At 41.4% G+C, this 22,735-nt stretch overlaps 1 long non-coding RNA gene and 1 pseudogene across 2 annotated transcripts; one reads left to right on the top strand and one right to left on the bottom strand.

The window, feature by feature from the left end:
• Positions 1-1,536: 1,536 nt before the first annotated feature.
• On the top strand, positions 1,537-7,917 carry LOC105376166 (uncharacterized). 2 transcript variants are annotated; one of them, XR_930154.3, is made up of 3 exons: positions 1,537-1,573; positions 3,334-3,469; positions 3,739-7,917. It is a non-coding gene; the product is annotated as an uncharacterized LOC105376166 (long non-coding RNA). The 2 variants fall into 2 exon arrangements; XR_007061683.1 differs by having other exon boundaries at positions 3,334-7,917.
• FAM220CP (family with sequence similarity 220 member C, pseudogene) lies at positions 8,568-11,004 on the bottom strand (annotated as a pseudogene).

The raw sequence follows: 22,735 nt of genomic DNA, 5'->3' as shown, positions 1-22,735 counted from the left end.
CTGAAGGTAAACGTAAGAGACTGTCCTTGCTGTGTGGGAGGCTGGTCTAGAGATGAAGGACTTAACAGGTCCTCCCAGTCCGTCAGGCCTGGACAGTACTGTCGTGTCTCAGGACTCAGCCCAGTCCTAAATGGGACGGTGCTGCCCAGGGTGGGTGGCCGGGACCTGACAGCAGTACCCCAGGCAGTGACCACATCACCCAGCCAGGGTCCAGGGAGCCTGGCCTGAGACCTGCCCAGTGCATTGAGGGTACACCTGGAGCCCACTCCACCTGATGCCCCCACAACCCTCCCAGGGTCTGACCTCCCAGCATGCACCTGCCTCTCCCTACACCCCAGATGTCCACCCTGCCTGTTCCCTGACTTCCTCCATCCTGTCCAGCAGGATGTGCTGGGCAGTGGGACAGCCTATGTGCACATTTTGTGGCAAGTAGGAGTGACACACCATCCCTGGGTGGCGCCATGGTTCCTGCCAAACCCAACCCCAGAACTCTGTCCCTGAGGTGGTTTTACAAAACCCAAAACCCAAAACTGTGGTTGTGGCTCAGGGGTCAGCACCTGCTAGTACCAGGACACTACTGGGAGGCTGGGACCTGACCAAAGCCCATGGTGTCTGTGGCCTGAGGACAGGGTGTCTTGGGGCCATAAGGCCCGGCCACCAATGGCCATTGGGTCATAGGGCGTCAGCCCCAGTGTTTGCCCTTCCCTGGCTCCTTCTGGTTCAGTCCCATCAGGGCCCTGGAGCCCAAGACCCAGCACCCAAGGTCCCCTCCAGGAATCCTGGCGTCTTGGCTTCCTTTATCATGTTTCATCTGAGAGCAAAAATGTCAGATCGGATGCACAGAAAAATGGCCCAAAGTGCTTAATGACTAGAAGAAATCTAGCTCTCCCTCTCCCTCTCCCTCTCCCTCTCCCCCTCCCCCTCCCCTTTCTTTCTTTGGTCTCCCTCTGTTGCCAAGGCTGGACTGCACTGCCGTGATCTCAGCTTGCTGCAAACTCCCTGCCTCAGGCTCCCGTGATTCTCCTGCCTCGGCCTGCTGAGTGCCTGGGATTGCAGGCACGTGCCACCACGCCTGACTGGTTTTTGCATTTTTGGTGGACACGGGGTTTCGCCATGTTGACCGGGCTGATCTCCAGCTCCTGACCTCGAGTGATCTGCCTGCCTCGGCCTCCCGAGGTGCTGGGATTGCAGACGGAGTCATGCTCACTCAATGCTCAATGTTGCCCAGGCTGGAGTGCAGTGGCGTGATCTCAGCTCGCTACAACCTCTACCTCCCAGCCACCTGCCTTGCCTCCCAAAGTGCTAAGATTACAGCCTCTTCCCGGCCGCCACCCCATCTAGGAAGTGAGGAGCGTCTCTGCCTGGCCACTCATTGTCTGGGATGTGAGGAGCGCCTCTGCCCGGCCACCCCGTCTGGGAAGTGAGGAGTGCCTCTGCCCGGCCGCCACCCCATCTAGGAAGTGAGGAGCATCTCTGCCTGGCTGCCCATCATCTGGGATGTGAGGAGCGCCTCTGTCTGGCCGCCCCGTCTGGGAAGTGAGGAGCACCTCTGCCCGGCCGCCCTGTCCAGGAGGTGAGGAGTGCCTCTGCCCGGCCGCCACGTCTGGGAGGTGGTGGGCACCTCTGCCGGGCCGCCCCGTCTGGGAGGTGGGGGGGGCGCCTCTGCCCGGCCGCCCCTCCTGGGAGGTGGGGGGCGCCTCTGCCCGACCACCCGGTCTGGGAGGTGAGGGGCACCTCTGCCTGGAGGAGCGCCTCTGCCCGGCCGCCCCGTCTGGGAGGTGAGGAGCGCCTCTGCCCGGCCACCCCGTCTGGGATGTGGGGGGCGCCTCTGCCCGGCCGCCCCGTCTGGGAGGTGAGGGGCGCCTCTGCCCGGAGGAGCACCTCTGCCCGGCTGCCCCGTCTGGGAAGTGAGGAGTGCCTCTGCCCGGCCGCCCCATCTGGGAGGTGTACCCAACAGCTCCGAAGAGACAGCGACCATCGAGAATGGGCCATGATGACGATGGCGGTTTTGTAGAAAAAAAAGGGGGAAATGTGGAGAAAAGAAAGAGAGAACAGATTGTTACTGTGTCTGTGTAGAAAGAAGTAGACATAGGAGACTCCAGTTTGTTCTGTACTAAGAAAAACTCTTCTGCCTTGGGATGCTGTTAATCTATAACCTTACCCCCAACCTCCTGCTCTCTGAAACATGTGCTGTGTCAACTCAGGGTTAAATGTATTAAGGGCGGTGCAAGATGTGCTTTGTTAAACAGATGCTTGAAGGCAGCATGCTCGTTAAGAGTCATCACCACTCCCTAATCTCAAGTACCCAGGGACACAAACACTGCAGAAGGCCGCAGGGACCTCTGCCTAGGAAAACCAGAGTCCTTTGTTCACGTGTTTATCTGCTGACCTTCTCTCCACTATTATCCTATGACCCTGCCACATCCCCCTCTCCGAGAAACACCCAAGAATGATCAATAAATACTATAAAAAAAAAAAAAAAAAAAAAGAATATATTTTCTAAAAGTTGCTACAATTCAATAATAAAAAGACTAATATCCAAATTTTAAAATGTATAAAAGCTTTGAACTGACAATTTACAAAATAAGATATATGGCAGATCAGCACATTAGAAGATGCCCAGCATCATTAATCATCAAGGAAGTGCAGATCAAAATCGCCCCCTGACCTACCAGAATTGCTAAAATGAAACAGGCTAATCACTACTAATGCAACAGCAACTCTCATACACTACCGTATGGTGTAAAGTGATACAACCATTTTGGAAAACTGTTTGCAAGTTTCTTAAAACATTTATACATACCTCTTCCACTTAACCACAGCATCTACAGAAATGAAAACACATGTCCACAAAAAGCCTTGCACAAAAGTGTTTACAGCAGCCCCAAACTAGAAGCAACCCAAATGTCCATCTACTGGGAAGTGCATAACCAAACTGTAGTACATGCATGCAACTGTCTTCTGCTTCCAGGCTAAGTTCTTTGCTTTTAAGGGCTTCTGGGATTAGATTGGACCCACCCAGATAATTCCAGATAATCTTACTTTCAGTCCCACACCACCTCAGCCCTCCTGCTCTTCAGAGCTCAGTGCACAGGGCTCATTTCCTCTCGGATGACCTTCTCCGCTAAGTCCATTTATACAGGGTTCCCTTCTTGTGCAGAACTAGGCCAGCTTCCCACATGTTCCAGGGCAAACTCACTTTGAGCAGGCTGTGTGTGTGTGTGTGTGTTCCCGGCTTTCTGCTATAAATTGAAGATTGTGGAGGGCAGGGACTATGTCTTTTTCTTCTTTTTGCCCTCCACTTAGCCCCTTGACTTTTTGCCCTCCACTTAGTCCCTCACACAGTGCAGCTTAGTGGAGAAGCACATGGCCTGTAGAATCAGATGGAACCATGTGAGGTTTGGGACCACAAGTGGATACACAAAACAGGAATCCTCTCCAATAAGGATACCCTTGAGCCAACCACTGGGTAAGTGAGGAAGGCATAGCCGCAGGGGAATCTGGGAAAGGCTCTGCAAGTACACAGGCCCTGGGGCCCGCACGTGCTGAGTGTGAGAAAGAGCAAGAGGCCAGGGTGGCTGATGAGAGTGAGGGAGGGGCCCATGTTAGGAGGCAGTGGGGACAGATGGTGTTGACCCTTTAGCTCAGGGAAGGGCTTGGGTCCATGTTATGAGTGAACCAGGATGCCATTGGCGGGTTTGAGTGGAGGAGTCACATGATCTGACTTTTGTTTAACAGGAGCATCTCCTGAAGCGCTGAGGATAGACTGAACAGCCAAAGCATGGAAGTTAGGGCAGAGGTGACTGTATGTGCAGCAGCTTCCCCTCGTCACCTGAATCTTCAGTATTGTTTGTGCAGGAAATGGAGGATCAAGAATCAAGATTCTTTCCCTTCATTTACCAATTATTATAGCAATCAGTTGGTTCCCTAGCATCCTCCAAAGGAAACAAATGGGGCTCTTTTTTTTTTTTAGAGACAGGGTCTGGATCTGTTGCCCAGGCTGGAGTGCAGTGGCGCAATTATTGCTCACTGCAGCCTTGAAGTTTTGGGCTCAAATTATCCTCCCACCTCAGCCAAGTAGCTGGTATTACAGGCATGTGCCACCATGCCCAGCTGACTTTTTTATTTTTTGTAGAGTCAAAGTCTCACCATGTTGCCCAGTCTGGTCTCAAACTCCTGGCCTCAAGCAATCCTCCAGCCTTGGCCTCCCAAAGTGCTGGGATTACAGGTGTGAGCCACCACATCCAGCCTAATGAGCTTTCTTAATATCATTATAAAGTCTTGAGTTTTTCAAATATTTGATGTGTTTCAAAACATTGCAGTTATTATCATTTTTACAGCTCAAATTATCCCATATCTGGCCAGTGAGAGCCTCTTCACGTTGGTGTCTGGACCCTTTAGACATGTGCCCAGTAGTCCTTGATGGCTTCTTGGCATCTGTTTATAATAAGATGCTGCAGGCTCATCTGGTACATTTCCTGCCCCAGATAGAGAACCAACCATTTCTCTAAGGATCTCTAGTTCCTTTTAGATGGAGATAACATTTAGAGTCCACAATGTAGACAACAGGAATGCTTGTTGCTACTAGATTTTTGTCTCCTAGAATATTCAGTGGATAGAGGTAGAACATATGTATTGTTAATTAAAATTTTAATTTTAAGATAATTGCAGATTCACAAACAATTTTAAGAATATTATTTACACAGATCTGCATTCCAGTTACTCAGTTTCTCCCAACAATAATATCTTGCAAAGCTATATTGCAATATCACAACCAGGATATTAGCATTGATGCAGTCAAAATGCATTGCCTTCACTGTAAAAGCCCCCTCAAGTTTTCCTTTTCTAGCTACACCCACTTCCCTCCTGCCCCCAGGCCCTCCTTCATCTCTGACAACCACTGAATCTGTTCTCCATTTCTATAGTTTTGTCATGTCAAGAATATTATATCAACAGAATTATGCATTGTGTATCCTTTTGGCATTGGCTTTTTTCACTCTGTAATTCTCTGAAGATTCATCCAGGATGTTGTGCATATCAATAGTGTATTCCTTTTTATTGCTGAATAGTATTCTATGCTATGGATGTACCACAGACTGTTTAATTGTTCACGAACTAAAGGACATGTAGGTTGTTTCCAGTTGGGGCCACTACAAATAAACTTGCTCTAAACATTTATGTGCAGGTTTTTGTGTGAACACAAGTCTTCATTTCTCTGGGACAAATGCCCAAGGATGCAGTTGCTGAGTTGTATGGCACTGCCAGTTTCATTTTTTTTTAATTGCCTAACTTTTTTCCAGAGTGGCTGTACCATTTTACATTCCCATTAATAGTAAATAAGGGAAAGAGTTTCCCTTCATCCTCACTAGCATTTGGAGTTGTCACTATTTTTTATTTAACCATTGTCATATGTGTATAGTAATAGCTCATCATAATTTTAATTTTTATTTTCATAATAGCAAATGATGTTAAATGTCCTTCCTTGTGCTTATTTGACATCTGTCTGTGCTTTTTGGTGAAATGCGTGTTCATATCATTTGCCCATTTTCTGTTTGTTTGTTTTGCTATTGAGTTTTAAGAGTTCTTTATGTAATTTAGATACTAATCCTTTGTCTGCTATATGCTTTCAAAACATTTTGTCCTAGTTGGTAGTTTGTTTTTTCATACTCTTAGCAAGGTCATTCACAGAACAAAATTTTTTTCTTTAATTTTGATAGCGTCCGGTTTATCTATTTTTGGTTTTATTGATGATGCTTTTGTTGTAAAGTTTAAAATATTCTTTGCCTGGCCCTAGGTCCTGAAGGGTTTTAATGTATTTTTCTAAAAGATTTGTAGTTTTACATTTAAGTCCGTGGTCTATTTTGAATTAATTCATGTATGGAGTGTTAGGTTCATGTCACCATTCAACTTTGCTTATGGATATGCAAATGCTCCAGCAATATTTGTTGAAAAAACTTCCTTTCCCCACACTGAATTACTTTTATGCTTTTGTCAATAACCTGTCAGTTATATTTATGTGGGTCTGAGTTCTCTGTTCTGTTTAATTTGTCTGTGTATCTTTCACTCTACCAATATCACGTGCTGTTGATTACAATAGCTACACAATAAGTCTTGTAATGGGATAGATTGATTCTTCCAACTTGGTAATTCTTTTTCAAAAATGTTTTAGCTATTTTAGTTCCTTTGCATCTCCAAGACAATTTTAAAATAATCTTGTATTCATCTACAAGAAATATTGCTGAAATTTTTGTAGGAATTGTATATATGAGTTTGGGGAGAATTAACATCTTTGCTATTTTGAGTCTCCAAATTGAAGAACATGATGTGTCTCATCATTTGTTTAGATCTTTGATTTCTTTCATCAGAATTTCTAATGTTTAGCATTCAAGTCTTATGAATGTTTTGTTAGAATTTGAAATGAGTATTTCCTTTTCTGAGCAATTATAAATGGTACTTATTGTATTTTTAATTTTTATATCCAAGCGTTCATCACTCAAAGTACACTTGATTTTTTTGTATATTTATGTCGTATCCTGTAGCCTTGCTGAATTCACTTACTAGTTCTAGGAGTTGTTGATTTTGGTGTTTTAAAATAGATTTCTTTGGATTTTCCACATAGCCATCATGTTATCTGCAAAAGTGAACAGTTTTATTTCTTCCTTTCCAATCAATATGCCTTTTTTTAAATGCTTTACTGAACTGGCTAAAACTTCCTGTGCTGTATTGAATTAGAGTAGTAAGAGCATATATCTTTGCCTTATTCCCTTTCTTAGGAGAAAAGCATTCTTTCTTTGACCATTAAGTATAATGTTAAGTGTTGGAGGTTTTGTAAAAGCTCTTTATCAAATTGAGGAAGTTCCTCTCTATTGTTATTTTTCTCAGAGTTTTTATTTTTATTTTATTTTTTTCAGACAGAGTCTCACTCTGTCACCCAGGCTGGAGTGCAGTGGCTCAATCTCAGCTCAGTGCAACCTCCACCTCCCAAGTGCAAGTGATTCTCATGCCTCAGCCTCCCAAGTAGCTAGCATGCATCACCACACCTGGCTAATTTTTTTGTATTTTTAGTAGAGACAGGGTATCGCCATGTTGGCCAGGCAGGTCTCAAACTCCTGGCCTGATGTGATCTACCCGCCTCACCTCCCAAAGTGCTGGGATTACAGGTGTGAGCCACCACACCTGGGATTTCTCAGAGTTTTTATCATGCATTTTGTCAAATGATTTTTCTGCATCAATTGATACGATTATGTGATTCTCTTCTTCATCATGTTAATATGGTAGGTTACATTGATTTTCACATATGGAACAAGCCTTGCTTTCCAGGAATAAACTGCACTTGCTCATAGCATATAGTTCTTTTTACATATTGCTTAATTCTGTGTCTATATTTATGAGGGATATTGGTCTGTAGTTCCTGTTTTGTTTTGTTTTTTTTAACTGTCTTTGTTTTTGGTATCAAGGTAATACTAGCTTTTAAAAATGAGTTGAGAGAAGGAGAAGGTGGGATTTGGGGGGAAAAGGTTGCAGACTTTTTGACTCAGGTCATTGTGGGCTTAGTCTCTATTGAGTGGCTGGGTTACTGCAGGAAGCCACTCTCCATTCTTAGGTGCATTCTTGTCTATTAAAGGAGAAAGTTAAACGCCTCTGGAAAACCTCAGGTTTATTTTAGTGCTTAAAGTCTGTGGCTCTAAATTCAGATCCAGAACTCATGTGGCCTGGCCAGGGAGGGTCACGGAGTGCTTTCCTCACACCTTTGTCTCTAGGCTCTGTAGACCTAGAGGTGTGGGACGTAAGAGCAGGCCCTTACCCATGGAATTTACATACAAATGGTGGAATAAGACAGGAAGTAAATAAATGTGATTATTCTGATAATGGTAAAAATAATAAATGAGATAAATAAATAAAATCACTTGAGAAGTATTCCGCTGTCTTTCTTTTCTCTGGAAGAGGATATACAGAATTGGTATCTATTATTCTTTAAACTTTGGGCAGAATTTTCCAGTGAAACCATCTGAGCCTGGAGATCTTATGTGGGGCTATTTGCATTATTTGTTTTATATTGATAAGTTGTGGTAGTTTATGCTTTTCAAGAAAGTGGTCTATTTCATTTAAGTTGCCAAATGTATGTGTTTAGAGTTGTTTGTAGTATTCATTTATTATCCTTTCAACATCTACAAGGTCTTTAGTGATACCTTCTGTGTCATGCCTAATATTTCTAATCTATAATTCTCTCCTTTTTGCTTTGTCACTCTTGGTAGATGTTTGTGAATTTTATAGATCTTTTTAAAGAACCAGCTCTTTGTTTCATTGGTTTTCTTTATTGTTTTTCTGTTTTAAATTTCATTGATTTCTGCTATTATAGTCATTATTTCCTTCCTTCTTATTTTGAGTGGTTTTTTTTTCTCTTATTTTCTACGTACTTCAAGTGGGAGCTTAAATTATTGGCTTGATAATTTTCTTATCATCTAATTTATGCATTTAGTTCTATGAATTTCCCTCTCACCCTGCTTTATACATACCCACAAATGTTGATGTGTTGCATTTTCATTGTCATTCACTGTATTTTTTATTAAGACATATTTATTAATCCAAAGAACAAATTTTATTTTTCATTTTCCCCAAACACTAAAATAGCACATGGCATAGTAATTAAGCACACAACATAAACTGATATATGCAATCGCTAATCCCGAAAATGGTTAAGTCTCACTTTGGGAGTCTTTAAAACCTTATGCCCTTAAATGACCTTTATTAAAGTTATCAACAGACAACAAAAGGAGTCACCTGGAAAAATTTTAGGGTACAAGATACTGCAATTCCTAGAATCTGGGAAACTTTTTATCTGGGAAATAACTTGATTTGCTTCTCTGTAACTGAGCTACTTTTTTCTCGAGCTCATTTTTTTTTTTGAGACAGTCTCGCTCTGTCGCCCAGGCTGGAGTACGGTGGCGCCATCTCGGCTCACGGCAAGCTCCACCTTATGGGTTCACGCCATTCTCCTGCCTCAGCCTCCCGAGTAGCTGGGACTGCAGGCGCCCCCACCACGCCCGGCTAATTTTTTGTATTTTTTTTTAGTAGAGACGGGGTTTCACCGTGTTAGCCAGGATGGTGTCGATCTCCTGACCTTGTGATCTGCCTGCCTCAGCCTCCCAAAGTGCTGGGATTACAGGTGTGAGCCACCGCGCCCGGCCTCTCGAGCTCATTTTTAAGGTAACGCTGCTAGGGTTCTGAGTTTGAGAAGGGATCTTCTAAAGGTAAGCTTAATATTGCAACTTTCACCACAGGGCCTCTGTCTAAATTGCATTTCAAGTGGAAGGAAAGGGGTGTAAGAAGTGAAATAGAATTTTGCTGCAGACCAAAATCATTCTACAAAATGTAGAAATGATAATAGCTTACCACAAATTCAGCAAGATTTAACGCCAAGTACAGCGGTGTAGACTTTACAAGTATCCACTTCCGTTGGGTGATCAGACAAGCTGAAGGGACACACAGGATTTGGGACAGTAGCCCTTTAGACAATGCTGGGTGTTGAAGACAGAACTTCATCGTAAATCCGTATGTTCTAATCTGATATTTATACAGGCTATGATCGTCTCCTGAAATGTTTCCCAATTCTTTATATGTCTTTTAAAGCACAATTTAACATATGCTAAAAAATTTCCTTCCGCATCCACCAGTTTTGAATTTAAACTCAACTAAGTCTGCCAGGTCGTACAAACCACACCTTAATCATTCTAAGACAACTCTTAAAATTAATCTACTTGTATTGTTCTGCTTGTACCTTAACTATGGCATAATGAATTTGCTAATTCAAAATGTTGCAGAGCCAGTAACCCCAGTGTTATCTGCAGACCATCTGAGGTACTTTTAAGCATTTTTTTGAATTCTATTGTTTGCTTTGAAAACATGGGGTTTAAACGGTCAAGGAAAATGCGTTTTGTCTCGTCATTCAGGAGCTCTTCGGGACACGCCTGCAGTGTTGCAGACAGGATGGAATGCAGGCAAGAGGGTTCCAACTCAGAGCGCAGACCCTTGGGAAAAGCACTTGGTGGGTCATCCTGAAAACTTCCCATTTCCGGCAGTTTTTGATGGCATGGCAGTCGTGACACCTGAGGCTCTCCTTTGGGGCACTGTCCTCTGTGGCCGTGGGTGGCCCTGGGCCCTCCTCCCAGCCAGTCCCGCCCCAGAGCTTCAACACCACTGCAGGACACCCGAGCAAAATACTCTGTTGGAGCAGGGAACAAACCCACGGCTGCGCTCGGAGTGGCTGCTGAGGCTGGATTTCTTCTTACTGATTCTTTCACATATGGAAGAACTGGGCCGCCACTGGGAAGCGAGAGGCCAGCCCTGCTCGGATCCTTTCTCATTTCCAGTGATAATGCCTCACTCTGAATTTCCATCAGCCGCAGGCTTATTCATCCAGGAGGGTGCATCTGCAGGCCAAGGGCCCTCCATCGGCATTCTTTGCTTAAGGCTGTATGACAGTTTGTCCGAGTCACCTCCTCCGGCCCACTGCACTTGTGCCAGGCAGGTGCCGAGGGGCCCTCTTCTGTCCCTCATGCTTCGTGTTCTTGGATGCCGTGGGCCTGAGGTCACGCCTTCGTCAGTCCGGGAGGGCCTTCAATGGATCTCAATATGAACCTATAGGCGGACGTTGAGCATCATGGAAGCCACGATGTAGAAGTAGGGGAAGTTGATGCGCAGCCACCAGGCCAGATTGAAGAAGACAGCAGCTTGCGAGTCAGCCCCTTGCGTAAGACTCCACAGGAGCGGGCGGCGGCTGAGCGCTAGAGCCGGACAGCCAGGCGCGACAGAGCCGCCGCCATATAGAGACCGGCGCTCCCACAGCCCGCCTGCCCTCTCCGCGCCGCGTCGCTCGGGCCGCTGGCCTTCGCTTGGCGGGCTCAGGGAGCGAGGGAGGCGGCGGCTAGACTGGCGGGCGAGCGGGCTGCGGGAGCGGAGTCCGCGCGTCACGCTCGGAGAAGCACCTCCGCGAGCTGCCGCCTGGTCCCCCAGTTCACTGTATTTTTTAAATTTTCTTTGAGACTTCCTTTTGACCCATGGATTACTTAAAAGTGTGTTGTTTTGTTTCTAGTCATTTGAATATCTTCCTGTTATCTTTGTTATTGATTTCTCATTTGATTCCATTGTCATTACAAAACACACTCTATATGATTTCACTTATTTAAAATTTGTTGAGGCTTGTTTGATAGCCCAGGATATGACCTATCTTGGGATATATATTTTGTGGTCATTTGAAAAGAATGTGTATTCTGATGTTGCTAAGTGGAGTGGACCATAAATGTTGATTTGATTTTGTTGGTTGGTTCTTGAGTTGTTCTATATCTTTACTGATTTTCTGCTAGTTGTTCTATCAATCATTGAGGGAGAGGTATTGAAGTCTCCAACTATAATTGTGGACTTGTCTATTTTGTCAGTTTTTGATTCATATATTTTTCAGCTCTGTTGTTTGGCTGGCATCACATTTAGTATTGCTATGTCTCCCTGGTGAACTGGTCTTTATGTGGTTAGATACCGTCCGTCTCTATCTGCTAACTTTCTTTTCTGTGCTCTAAAATCTACTTTTGTGATACTAAAGAAGCCATTTCTACTTTCTTTTGAATAATATTTGCAAAACATGTATTTACCATCCTTTAATTTTTCATTTTAACCTGCTAATATTATTATATTTGAGATGATTTTCTTATAGACTTCATACAGTTGTGTCATGTCTCTCAATCCACTCTGCCAATCTCCATCTTTTTTTTTTTTCTTTAGACAGGGTCTCACTCTGTTGCACAGGCTGGAGTGCAGTGATGCCATCTCAGATCACTGCAACCCCTGCCTTCCAGGTTCAAGCAATTCTTGTGCCTCAGCCTCCTGAGTAGCTGGGACTACAGGCATAGGCCACCATGCCTGGGTAATTTTTATATTTTTGGTAGAGACAGGGTTTCACCATGTTGGCCAGGCTAGTCTTGAACTTTTGACCTTAAGTGATCCGCTTGTCTCAGCCTCCCAAAGTGCTGGATTACAGGCCAATCTCCATCTTTTGATCAATACATTTAGACTATTTACATTTAGTGTAATAATTGATGTATTATGGTTCATGTCAGACATTTTATTTTGGGTTTTGTTTGCTCTTTCTCTGGTTTCTCTATTTTATATTTTCTTCCTTCCTATGGATTACTCAAACTTTTGTTTAGAATTTCATTTTCATTTATCTGTTGTGTTTTTTAGGATATCTGTTTGAATATCTAGTTTAGTGGCTGTTTTAGATATTACGTTATAAACATAACATCACAATCTACCAGGGTTGACATTTTACCACTTCAAGTGAAGTATAAAAGCCTTATGTCCCCTTGTGTTTCTTTGCCCTCTCCATATTCCTTTGCCCCACCCTCATTTAAGATGATATAATTGTCTTAAATATTTTCTCTTTCTACTTTTAGAACCATATCTACCAGTTTTCTACTTTTTGCTTAAACTGTCAACATAATTTAGAAAACTCAAGAGAAGTAAAGCCTACAGTCATTACCTACACTTTGCTTACCTTGTTCTTTCTTCCTTCTTGATGTTCAAACTTCCTGCTTTTACCATTTTATTTTTGTTTAGAGAATTTCCTTTAGCTATCTCATTAAGTGATTTCGGCAGGTGACAAATTCTCCTAATTTTCCTTCACCCTGGGATATTTTTCCCGTGTATAGGGTATTTTCTTTCAGGACTTAAAACGTATTTTGCACACCCGTTTGGCCTCCATAGTTTCTGGTGAAAATCATGTTGCCGTGCAAATTGTTTTCCCTTTGTTGATAAAGTGTCGTTTTTTTCTGACTGAGTTTCAGACTTTGCTTTTAGTTTCTAGAAGTTGAATTATGGATGTGTCTTGACATGGATTTGGGGGATTTATCCTGTTGGAATTCACTTAGCTCACTGAATTTGTGGGTTTATGTCTCTTGCCAAATCAAATTTGGGAGATTTTTGGTCATTATTTCTTCAAGTACTTATTTTGCCGTTGTCCTCCTTCTATTCTCCTTCTGGGACAACAATGTCTTAAATGTTAGATCCTTTGTTAGTCCTACAGGTTCCTGACACTCTGTTCATTTTTTTTTTCCCATCCCACTTTCTCTCTGTTCTTCAATTGGGGTAATTTCTATTGTTCTATCTTGAAGTTCACTGATTTATTTTCTCTATCCCTTCCATTCTGCTGTTGAGCCCATATGTTGAGGTTTATATTGTTATTTATATTATTATTTTTCAGTTCTCAATCTCTTCTTTGTATCTTCTCTTTCTTTGTAAGCAAGTTTGTATTGCTTGTTGGAGGGTTTTTTCTTCTTTTTTTTTTTTTTTTGAGATGGAGTCTCATTCTGTCACCCAGGCTGGAGTGCAGTGGCACGATCTCGGCTCACTGCAACCTCCGCCTCCTGAGTTCAAGAGATTCTCCTGCCTCAGCCTCCCGAGTAGCTGAGACTACAGGCGCATTCCACTATGCCCAGCTAATTTTTGTACTTTTAGTAGAGACAGGGTTTCGCCATGTTGGCCAGGCTGGTCTCGAACTCCTGACCTCAGCTGATCCACCCCCCCTCCGCCAGGCCTCCTAAAGTGCTGGGTTTACAGGCCTGAGCCACCACACCCGGCCATTGGAGGCATTTTTATCATGACTGCTTTAAAACATCTATCAAATCACTTGAATTTCTTTGTCATCTTAGTGTTTGTACCTATTCATTATCTTTTTAAAAAACACCTTTTAACAGACTTTATTTCCTAAAGCAATTATATGTTCAAAGCAAAAATGAGCCCAAAGTACTGAGAGGTCCTATGTATCCTCTACCCCTTCCCCACATGCGCAGCCTCACCAACTGTCAACATCCTATATTAAAGTGTTACATTGGTTCCCATCAATGCACTTACACTGACACATCATTATGACCCAGAGTCCATAGTTTACATTAGTGTTCACACTTGATGTTGCATATTCTGTAAATCTGGACAAATATAATAATGACATGTATCCACCTTAACAGTATCATACAGAATTGTTTATTGACCCCCAAAACCCTTAGTTCTCCACCTGTTCATCCCTCACTCTCCCTAACTCCTGGCAATCACTGATCTTTTTACTGTTTACATAGCTTTGCCTCTTCTATAATGTGTAATTGGAATCATGCAGTATGTCGCCTTTTCAGATTGGTTTTTTTTCACTTAGTGATATGCTTCCCAACTTCCTGTTTTGCAGCCAGGCACAGTGACTCAATGCTGTCATCCCAGTACTTTGGGAGGCTGAGGTGGGCATATGGCTTGAGCCCAGGAGGTTGAGGCCAGTCTGGGCAACATGGCAAAACTCTGTCTCTACAAAAAATACCAAAATAAAAAAAAAGTTTCTCCATGTCTCTTCATGGAGAGAGGGTCTCACTCTGTCACCCAGACTGGAGTGCAGTGCTACCATCATAACTCACTGTAACCTCAAACTCCTGGCCTCAAGCAATTCTCCCACCTCAGCTGCCTAAGCAGCTGGGACTATAGGTATGCACCACTACACCCAACTCTTTTTTTTTTTAATTATTTACATTTTTGTAGAGACGAGGTCTGGCTATGTTGCCAGACTAGTCTCTAACTTCTGGCCTCAAGCTATCCTCCTGCCTCAGCCTCATTTCTTTTTAGTGCTGAATATTCCATTGTCTGTATGTGCCATAGTTTATTTATTCATTCATCTACTGAAGGACATCAAAGTTGCTCCTGAGCTTTAGCACTTAATGAATAAAGCTGCTATAAGAATTTGTGTTTAGGTCTTTGTGTGGACATAAGTTTTGAACTCATTTGGGAGTTATTTTTAATAGATACAAAGTCTCAGCTTTGCAAGATGAAAAGAGTTGTGAGGATGGATAGTGGTAATGGTAACAGAGCAATATAAATGTCTAATACCACTGAACTGCATTCTTTAGTGTATTTTACTGCAATTTTTAAAAACTAAACAACATGACCCTCATACAAAAATGTACCACCTCACTTTCTCAGTAAAATTATTTTAGCAAAGTTCCAGTGGTAACAGAAATCAAAATCTTAAAAATACGTATATTCTTTGAGTCAGTAATTCCATTTCTAGATATGTATTCTAGAAAATCTGGCAAGGGAATAATATTGTAAATACACACATTTGGCGTGGTTTTTTTCAAACAATGACAAGTGGAAAACCACCTCAATATTTCAGAATAGGGGATTGGTTAAATATCACTCTGATTATCACCACACAATTAGCTATTTACAATTATGATCTAGATGGAGAACTGTAACATGAAATTTTGTTCCAATATTTTGTTTTGTTGAAAAAAGCAGATCACAAAACTGTGTGTGTGTGTAATGCTTTTCAAGTAATTAATCTAGAGAATTATCTGACAAGCATCCAGAGATCATGTTAAAACTTTACGCAGATGAAGCTTGGGGAACCTGTCTAACATTTTATTCGCATAAAAAACATCTCTGAGTGCTCATTCTGGGCCAGGCCTTTTATGTATACAGCTCATTTAGTCCTCACAGCAGCCCTTCATGGTGGACACTTTCATTATTTTTTTTTCCTTTTTATACTGTGCTAAAATATACATAACATAAAATTTGTCATTTTTACCATTTTTAATTGTGCAATTCGGTGACATTAATTACAGTAACAATGCTGTGCTACCAACATCACTGTCCTGATCCAAACTGAAATTCTGTATCCATTAAACAACTGCCAGTTCCTCCTTCCTCAGCCCCTAGTAACCTCTATCTCCTTTTACTCATGAATTTACTAATTCTAGCTCCTTCACAGAATGGAATCATGCAGTATTTGTCTTTTTGTGTTGGGCTTATTTCATGTAGCATATAATGCTTTCAGTTTCACCAATATTGTGGCAAATGTCAGAACTCTTTCCCGTCTCATTGTTGAATAATATTCCATCCTATGTGATGCCACATCTTCTTTATCCATTCATTTGCTTGTGGACACTTGGGTGGTTTCCATCTTTTAGCTATTGTAAGTAATGCTGCAATGAACATTGGCATGTAAGTATCTGCTTTAGTACCTGCTTTCAGTTCATCGTATATATACCTAGAAGTGGAGTTGCTGATAATTCTATATTATAATATCATAGAATAATTCTATGTTTGATAGCTATGACAAGTCTATGTTTAACTTTTTAAGGAAACACCAAACTGTTTTCCACAATGGCTGTCTCATTTTAGTGTCTCCCAGCAGCAATGCCCAACGGTTCTAATTTCTCCACATCCTCATTGACACTTGCCATTTTCTGTTTTTTTCATAGTAGTCATCCTAATGGTTGTGAAGTGCTATCTCATTGTGGGTTTGAATTGCATTTTCCTAAGTATGGAGGATGTTGAGTACCTTTGCATGTGCTCATTGGCCTTTTGTTTATCTTCTCTGAAGAAATAGTTTTACTCATTTTTTAATTGAGTTTTTTGGTTGTTGATGAGTTACAGGAGTTCTTGATCTATTCTGGATATTAATCCCTTATCAGATTTATGATTTGCAAGACTTTTCTCCAATTCCGTGAGTTCCCTTTTCACTCTGTTGAGTGTGTCCCTTGATGCACATAGTTTTGTGCTTTTTGTTTGCACATAGTTCTTTTGTTGTGTGTCCTCTTAGTGTTTAGTGGAGGTTCATACCCTCTTATTTTTTCTGCATTTGTGGTTTTTGAAAAATTTTATACAAAAAGTATTTTAAAAAATAGTCAAAATGATTGTGATTGTATCCAGCCTCTATCATTTTACATTCCATGTGATTTTAAGGAATAGTCTTAAGCACCCTGAGTTTCATTTCCTTCACCCTTAAAGGGGATTATATCTACTTCATTGGGTGTATGAGAACTGATATCCTATTATGTATAAAATGCTGAAAACAATTCCCAGCACTGAACAAAATTTGCAAACTAATATATCATTGTCATCAACAATAACAAAAAATAATAGCAACATAGTATACTATTATAGCTCATTGCACCATGTTCCTATTTTGTGTGTTGTCTATTATTTTCATCAAAATAGAATTATCAAGTTATTTTAAGTCATTATTTATGCTTCTGATTATTTCTTGGAATATTAAAAAACAATTTGGGGGATTGTCTTAGTCCATTTCTACTGCCAAAACAAAATACCACAGACCGGGCAATTTATAAACAATAGAAATTGATTTCTCATGGTTCTAAAGACTGGGACGTCCAAGATCAAGGTACCAGCAGGATTGATGTCTGGTGAGGGCTGCTCTCTGCTTCCAAGATGGTGCCTTGTTGCTGCATCCTCCAGAGGAGTATAACACTGTGTCCTCACATGGTGGAAGGGATGGAATGGGACAAACTCACTCTTTCAAATCTTTTTATAAAGGCCCTAAACCCATCCATGAGGGCTCCACCCTCGTGACTTAATCACCTCCTGAAGGCCCAACTGCTTAATTCTATCACATTGGCAATTACATTTTAGTACTTGAATTTGGGGGATCGGTGGGTATAAAACAGTTTAAGAATACTGAAGCCTGTAGCCAAGTTGCACTCCACAAGTGAATCACCAATAGTAAAAGAAAAAAGTATAATTATATTGCTATATTTTTACAACAGCAGATTTGTAAATTAAAATGTTACCTCACCAATTTGATGGCATAAAGTATTACAAAATGTTCTCATTTCAACATGAAGTTGCAAGTAATTTCATATATTCCTCATTTTTTCTTCTGTGCATTCTGTCTTTAGCCATTGATTTATGAATGGTCCATGTAATAATTTAACCTTGTATTTCTCATATATTTTTAAATATTTTTCTAGTTTGTCTATTCTTTTTAATTATGCTGTGCTATGCATGAAGAATTTCTAATTATTTTAATTTAATCCATTTAATTTTTCTTTTTTTTTTTTTAATTTGAGAGAGTCTTATTCCGCTTCCCAGACTGGAGTTCAGTGGCACGATCTCAGCTCACAGCAAACTCTGCCTCCCAGTCAAGTGATTCTCCTGCCTCAACCTCCAGAGTAGCTGGGATTACAGATGTGCACCACCACGCCTGGTTAATTTTTGTATATTTAGTGGAGACGAGGTTTCACCATGTTGGTCAGGCTGGTCTCTAACTCCTGGCCTCAAGTGATCCGCCGGACTCAGCCTCCCAAAGTGCTGGGATTATAGGCGTGAGCCACTACGCCTGGCCTCTTTCTTTTCTTTTTTGATTTGCTTAAGAATTCCTAAGACCTCTCAAAAAACATGAAATTTCTATTATAACATAATTAATTGTCCAGCTGTTAAGAACTTATTTTGTTTGTATGTAAAAATTGTCAAACAACTTTATAGCCTCCAAATAATTACCTGGTTTCCACAACACCATTCAGTAAATTATTCTAAATTTTCCACCAAATTTATAGCATCAAATTATCAGGTACTTTATTTTTATTTATAATATAATTATTTTCTTTTCTCTGTGTTCTATTTCTTTTAGTTATCAGGTTATTTCTATACTCATAACTTAATTATTTATCTTTTTTTATTACTACATGAAATGCATTGCATATACAAAAGTTCATGAATGAACTTTTCTTTTCATGATGAACTTTTCCAGTGTAACTTATTGATTATACTTTCCTATTTATTACTCCAAATTAATTTCAGAATATCTTTTTTTTATAACATATTAGCTCCTTGAATACAATTCTATCAATAAATTGAATTTGTAACATTTGGCAGCTTTTCAATACTTAATCTTTTTTCCATCACCCTCATATATTTTTCTAGGATTTTAAAGTTTTCTTTATGTCATTTCCTAAGTTCATGGGTTCTTTTATCCGGTTTATTTGTACTTCTCTGTGTTTCTAAAACATCATAGTTGCATTGCTATTTGGGTAGAATCCTTCCTCTGAATATTCCCTAATCATTAGCATGAACACTTTTTGCCTACTTCTTTGTTCCTAAGTTATGGGAGTGCCTGTTGTGCTTTGACCTTTGAAGGAGCATTTTATTTATTTTTATTTTATTTTTTATTGTTTTTTATTTTTTTGAGACGGAGTCTTGCTCTATTGTCCAGGCTGGAGTTCAGTGGCTCAATCTCGGCTCATTGCAGCCTCCACCTTCCAGGTTCAAGCGATTCTCCTGCCTTAACCTCCCGACTAGCTGGGATTACAGGCACGTGCCACCACGCTTGGCTAATTTTTGCATTCTTAGTAGAGACGGGGTTTCACCATGTTGGCCAGGCTGGTCTCAAACTCCTGGCGTCAAGTGATCCACCTGCCTCGGCCTCCCAAAGTGCTAGGATTACAGACATGAGCCACCATGCCCGGCCTGAAGGTGCATTTTAAATGTCAGTGAAGGTCGCTGAATTGGGGAGAATGAAAACACACAGAGGCTTGGGATTAAAGCGGGCATGATGGGGAAGCAGAGGGGCTTTCTCCTAGTGTGTTTCTCTTCCCTGTGGGGAGTGATGAAAACAAGAGAGACATGAGGGGTGGAAACTGGAAGACTCTTCACTGCTAGGTTTGCCACAAACGGCTGCAGAAACTTTCCTCATCATCCATAAATTTCAGTTTTTTCATTTGTAAATGTTAATGCTGGGAACAGATCATCTCTTAGGTTCCATTTAGAGCCCACAGAGCCCAATGGTGAAGGGCCTGGTCCCAGGAGGCATGCTGAGCAGAGGCTGATCCTTTGCTGAGCAGAGGCTGATACTGTGCCTTTCGGGTTACTCCAGGCAGGTCAGTGGGAAAACTTCAGTTCATTGACAGGGCCTTAATTGTTGGGACCTTGTCAGACACCCCTTTGCAGACAGTGTCACTGAGACTGCGGCTGCGATGATAATCACAGCTGGCGTGGGAAGGTCTTTTCCAGGATCCTTCCCTATATCTGGGGACCTTCTCTGTCATTGCCCTCTAGGACCCTGCTCTCAAAGGCTCCGTGTGTGTGGGGAGGCGGCTGCAGAACAGCAGAGTCCCCTTTGGTAAGAGCCTCACCTTTCCAAGTCTCTGTGCGTGAGGAATGCACAAAACAGGGACGTGTTCCAGTAAGTTATAACGGTGTATTAGGTTACTGTTACTTTGTGGTTGTTGAGGATCTTGATGGTATATTAGCTAACATTGTCTTAGCCAGACACGCTCTTTGGCATTTTATGTATAGTACTGTATCAATTCTCACACATCTATTACGGTAGCTGTAATTATAGTCCCCCTCTTAAAGATAAAGAAAATAAAATTCTGATTCAGAATATTGCTTGAAGTCCACAGTGGGTAAGTAACAGAGCCTGGTTATAATCCCAGTGAATTTGAGTAGTTTTAAATAAACACCTTATTATGGAAGTTTTTTTCTGGCATCCATGGTTTCTGATGTCACAGGAATTGTCCTCATATAGGAAATAGAGCATTTCTCTCTGGTTTTTTCGAGTTTTCGGAAATCTGGTCATGGTGTATCTGGACATGGATTCATTTGAACATGACCTCTTAGTGGTTATCTTATCTCCTTGAATTTATGTATTTCACCATGTTTGTGACTTTTTTGCCACTATTTGTTCAAAAATATTTTCAGTCCTGTACTTTTTTTTTTTTTTTTTGAGATGGAGTTTTCCTCTGTCGCCCAGGTTGGAGTGCAGTGGCATGATCTCGGCTCACTGCAACCTCCGCCTCCTGGGATCAAGCAATTCTCCTGCCTCAGCCTCCCAAGTAAGCTGGGATTACAGGCATCTGCCACCATGCCCGGCTAATTTTTGTATTTTAGTAGAGACCGGGTTTCACCCTGTTGGCCAGGCTGGTCTCAAACTCCTGACCTCAAGCAATCCACCTGCCTCGGCCTCCCAAAGTGCTGGGATTACAGGCATGAGCCACCACGCCCGGCAGGTACTCCAATCATTTGAAAGTTAGACCTTTTGTTATTTTCCCACAGGTCTCTGAGGCTATATTCACTTTTCTCCATTGTGTTTTGTCTCCTCTATTCTAACAGGACAATTTCTGTTAAACTTGTCTTCAAGATCCCTGATCTTTCCTCTGTCATCTCCATTCTCTTGAGTCTGTCCAGTTCAATTTATTTCTATTTTTTTCACTTCTAAAATTTTCGTTTAGTTCTTGCTAGTATCTTTCATTTCTTTGCCATGAATTCATATTTTTCACTTGTTCCAAGTATGCCTGTAATTGCTTGTTGGAGCACTGTTGTGATAGCTACTTTAAAATCCTCATCACATAATACCAACATCTGTCTCATCTCAATGTTGGTGCCTGAAGATTGTATTTTCTTGTGCAAGTTTATTGTTCTATAGTCCTTGGTATAATGAATAACTTTGGACTGTATCCTGAATGTGCTGAGTATTATTATACATCATGAGACTGGACACTCTTCACACCTGTTATTTCAACAGAGTCCTTAGACAGAGAGTCCTCAGACAACAACAACAGAGAGTGCTTAGGTTCATAATACAGCTCAGTGCACTTTTTGGGCTGTGGTTCAGCTCTCTCTTGATCTTTAAATGCTTTGCGGTGATGCTCAGGCTTTCCCCGCTTGCCTGCTTCCCAGAGCCTCATCTCACACCTGTGTGAGTTCAGACCAGTGCTAAATTCTCACACATTCTGCTGTGTTGTTTCTGGTCCCTTTCAGGCACAGACTGCTCAGATTTCTGCCCAGAAATTCACACACACATCGTGGAATTGTCCTCAGTTTTCAGGAGTCAGCTCAAATATTACCCACTCAGAGAGGTTTTCCCTGGGCCCTTGTCTAAAGTTGATTCTTCTAGTCCTTTCCATTGCTTCATATAATATTTTCATATTTATCCCAACTTTATTCTATGTTTCCTTACTTGCTACTAGTCTATCTTTTCACTCCCGCCTAATAAAATATTAACTACGTAGAGATAGGGATTTTTTAAACTAATTATTCAGGACCTAACACAATGCTCGACAAATATGCTCATATTTCAAGAAATTTGTACAATATCTGCACTACAGTAACTGCTCTGTATACATTACCTTGTTCAGCACAGTTTTTCTGATGCTAAGTATACAATTTTAAATTTTCATTTTAACTTTCTTTTCTCAGAAGAAAATTTATTCATATTAACTAAATATTTAAAAATCACTCTTGATGGATATATAATATTCTATTACAACTAATATTCTACTGATATAACGAGTAAGCCCTTGAACCCTGGATTTATTGAGCAAATATTTAGTAGGCTTTAAATCTAGCTGGGACTATTGTAGGTAATTAAAGACACATACAAGACTCCTTTCTTTGCTGGGTGCACTGGCTCATGCTGCAATCCCAGCACTTTGGGAGGCCGAGGCAGGTGGATCACTTGAGGTCAGGAGTTCGAGACCAGCCTAGCTAACATGGAGAAACCCCATCTCTACTAAAAATACAAAAAAATTAGCTGGGTGTGGTGGTGAGCACTTATAATCCCAGCTACTGTGGAGGCTGAGGCAGGAGAATCACTTGAACCCAGGAAGAGGAGGTTGCAGTGAGCAAAGATCGTGCCACTGCACTCTAGCCTGGGCAACAGAGGGAAACTCTATCTCAAAAAAAAAAGAAAGAAAAGACTCCTCTCTTCAAATAGCTTACATTCTAGTTGAGGGAAGGAGTTAATAAGTAAACAAATTAATAAATAGATTAACAAGATAATCCAGTGCATAACAATTGATGTGGGAAATTAGAGTAAGTATATGGAGAGTGACTAGGGAGGTGGATTATTGGGTACTTGAGACAAAGATGAGTTTCCAGAGAGAAAAACCAGACGTGTCAGAAGTCCAGG

This window comes from Homo sapiens, chromosome 9 (genome assembly GCF_000001405.40).
Source record: "Homo sapiens chromosome 9, GRCh38.p14 Primary Assembly".
Taxonomy (NCBI): domain Eukaryota; kingdom Metazoa; phylum Chordata; class Mammalia; order Primates; family Hominidae; genus Homo; species Homo sapiens.
Note: the sequence above shows the minus strand (reverse complement) of the source record. Positions and strands in the feature narration are given on the sequence as shown.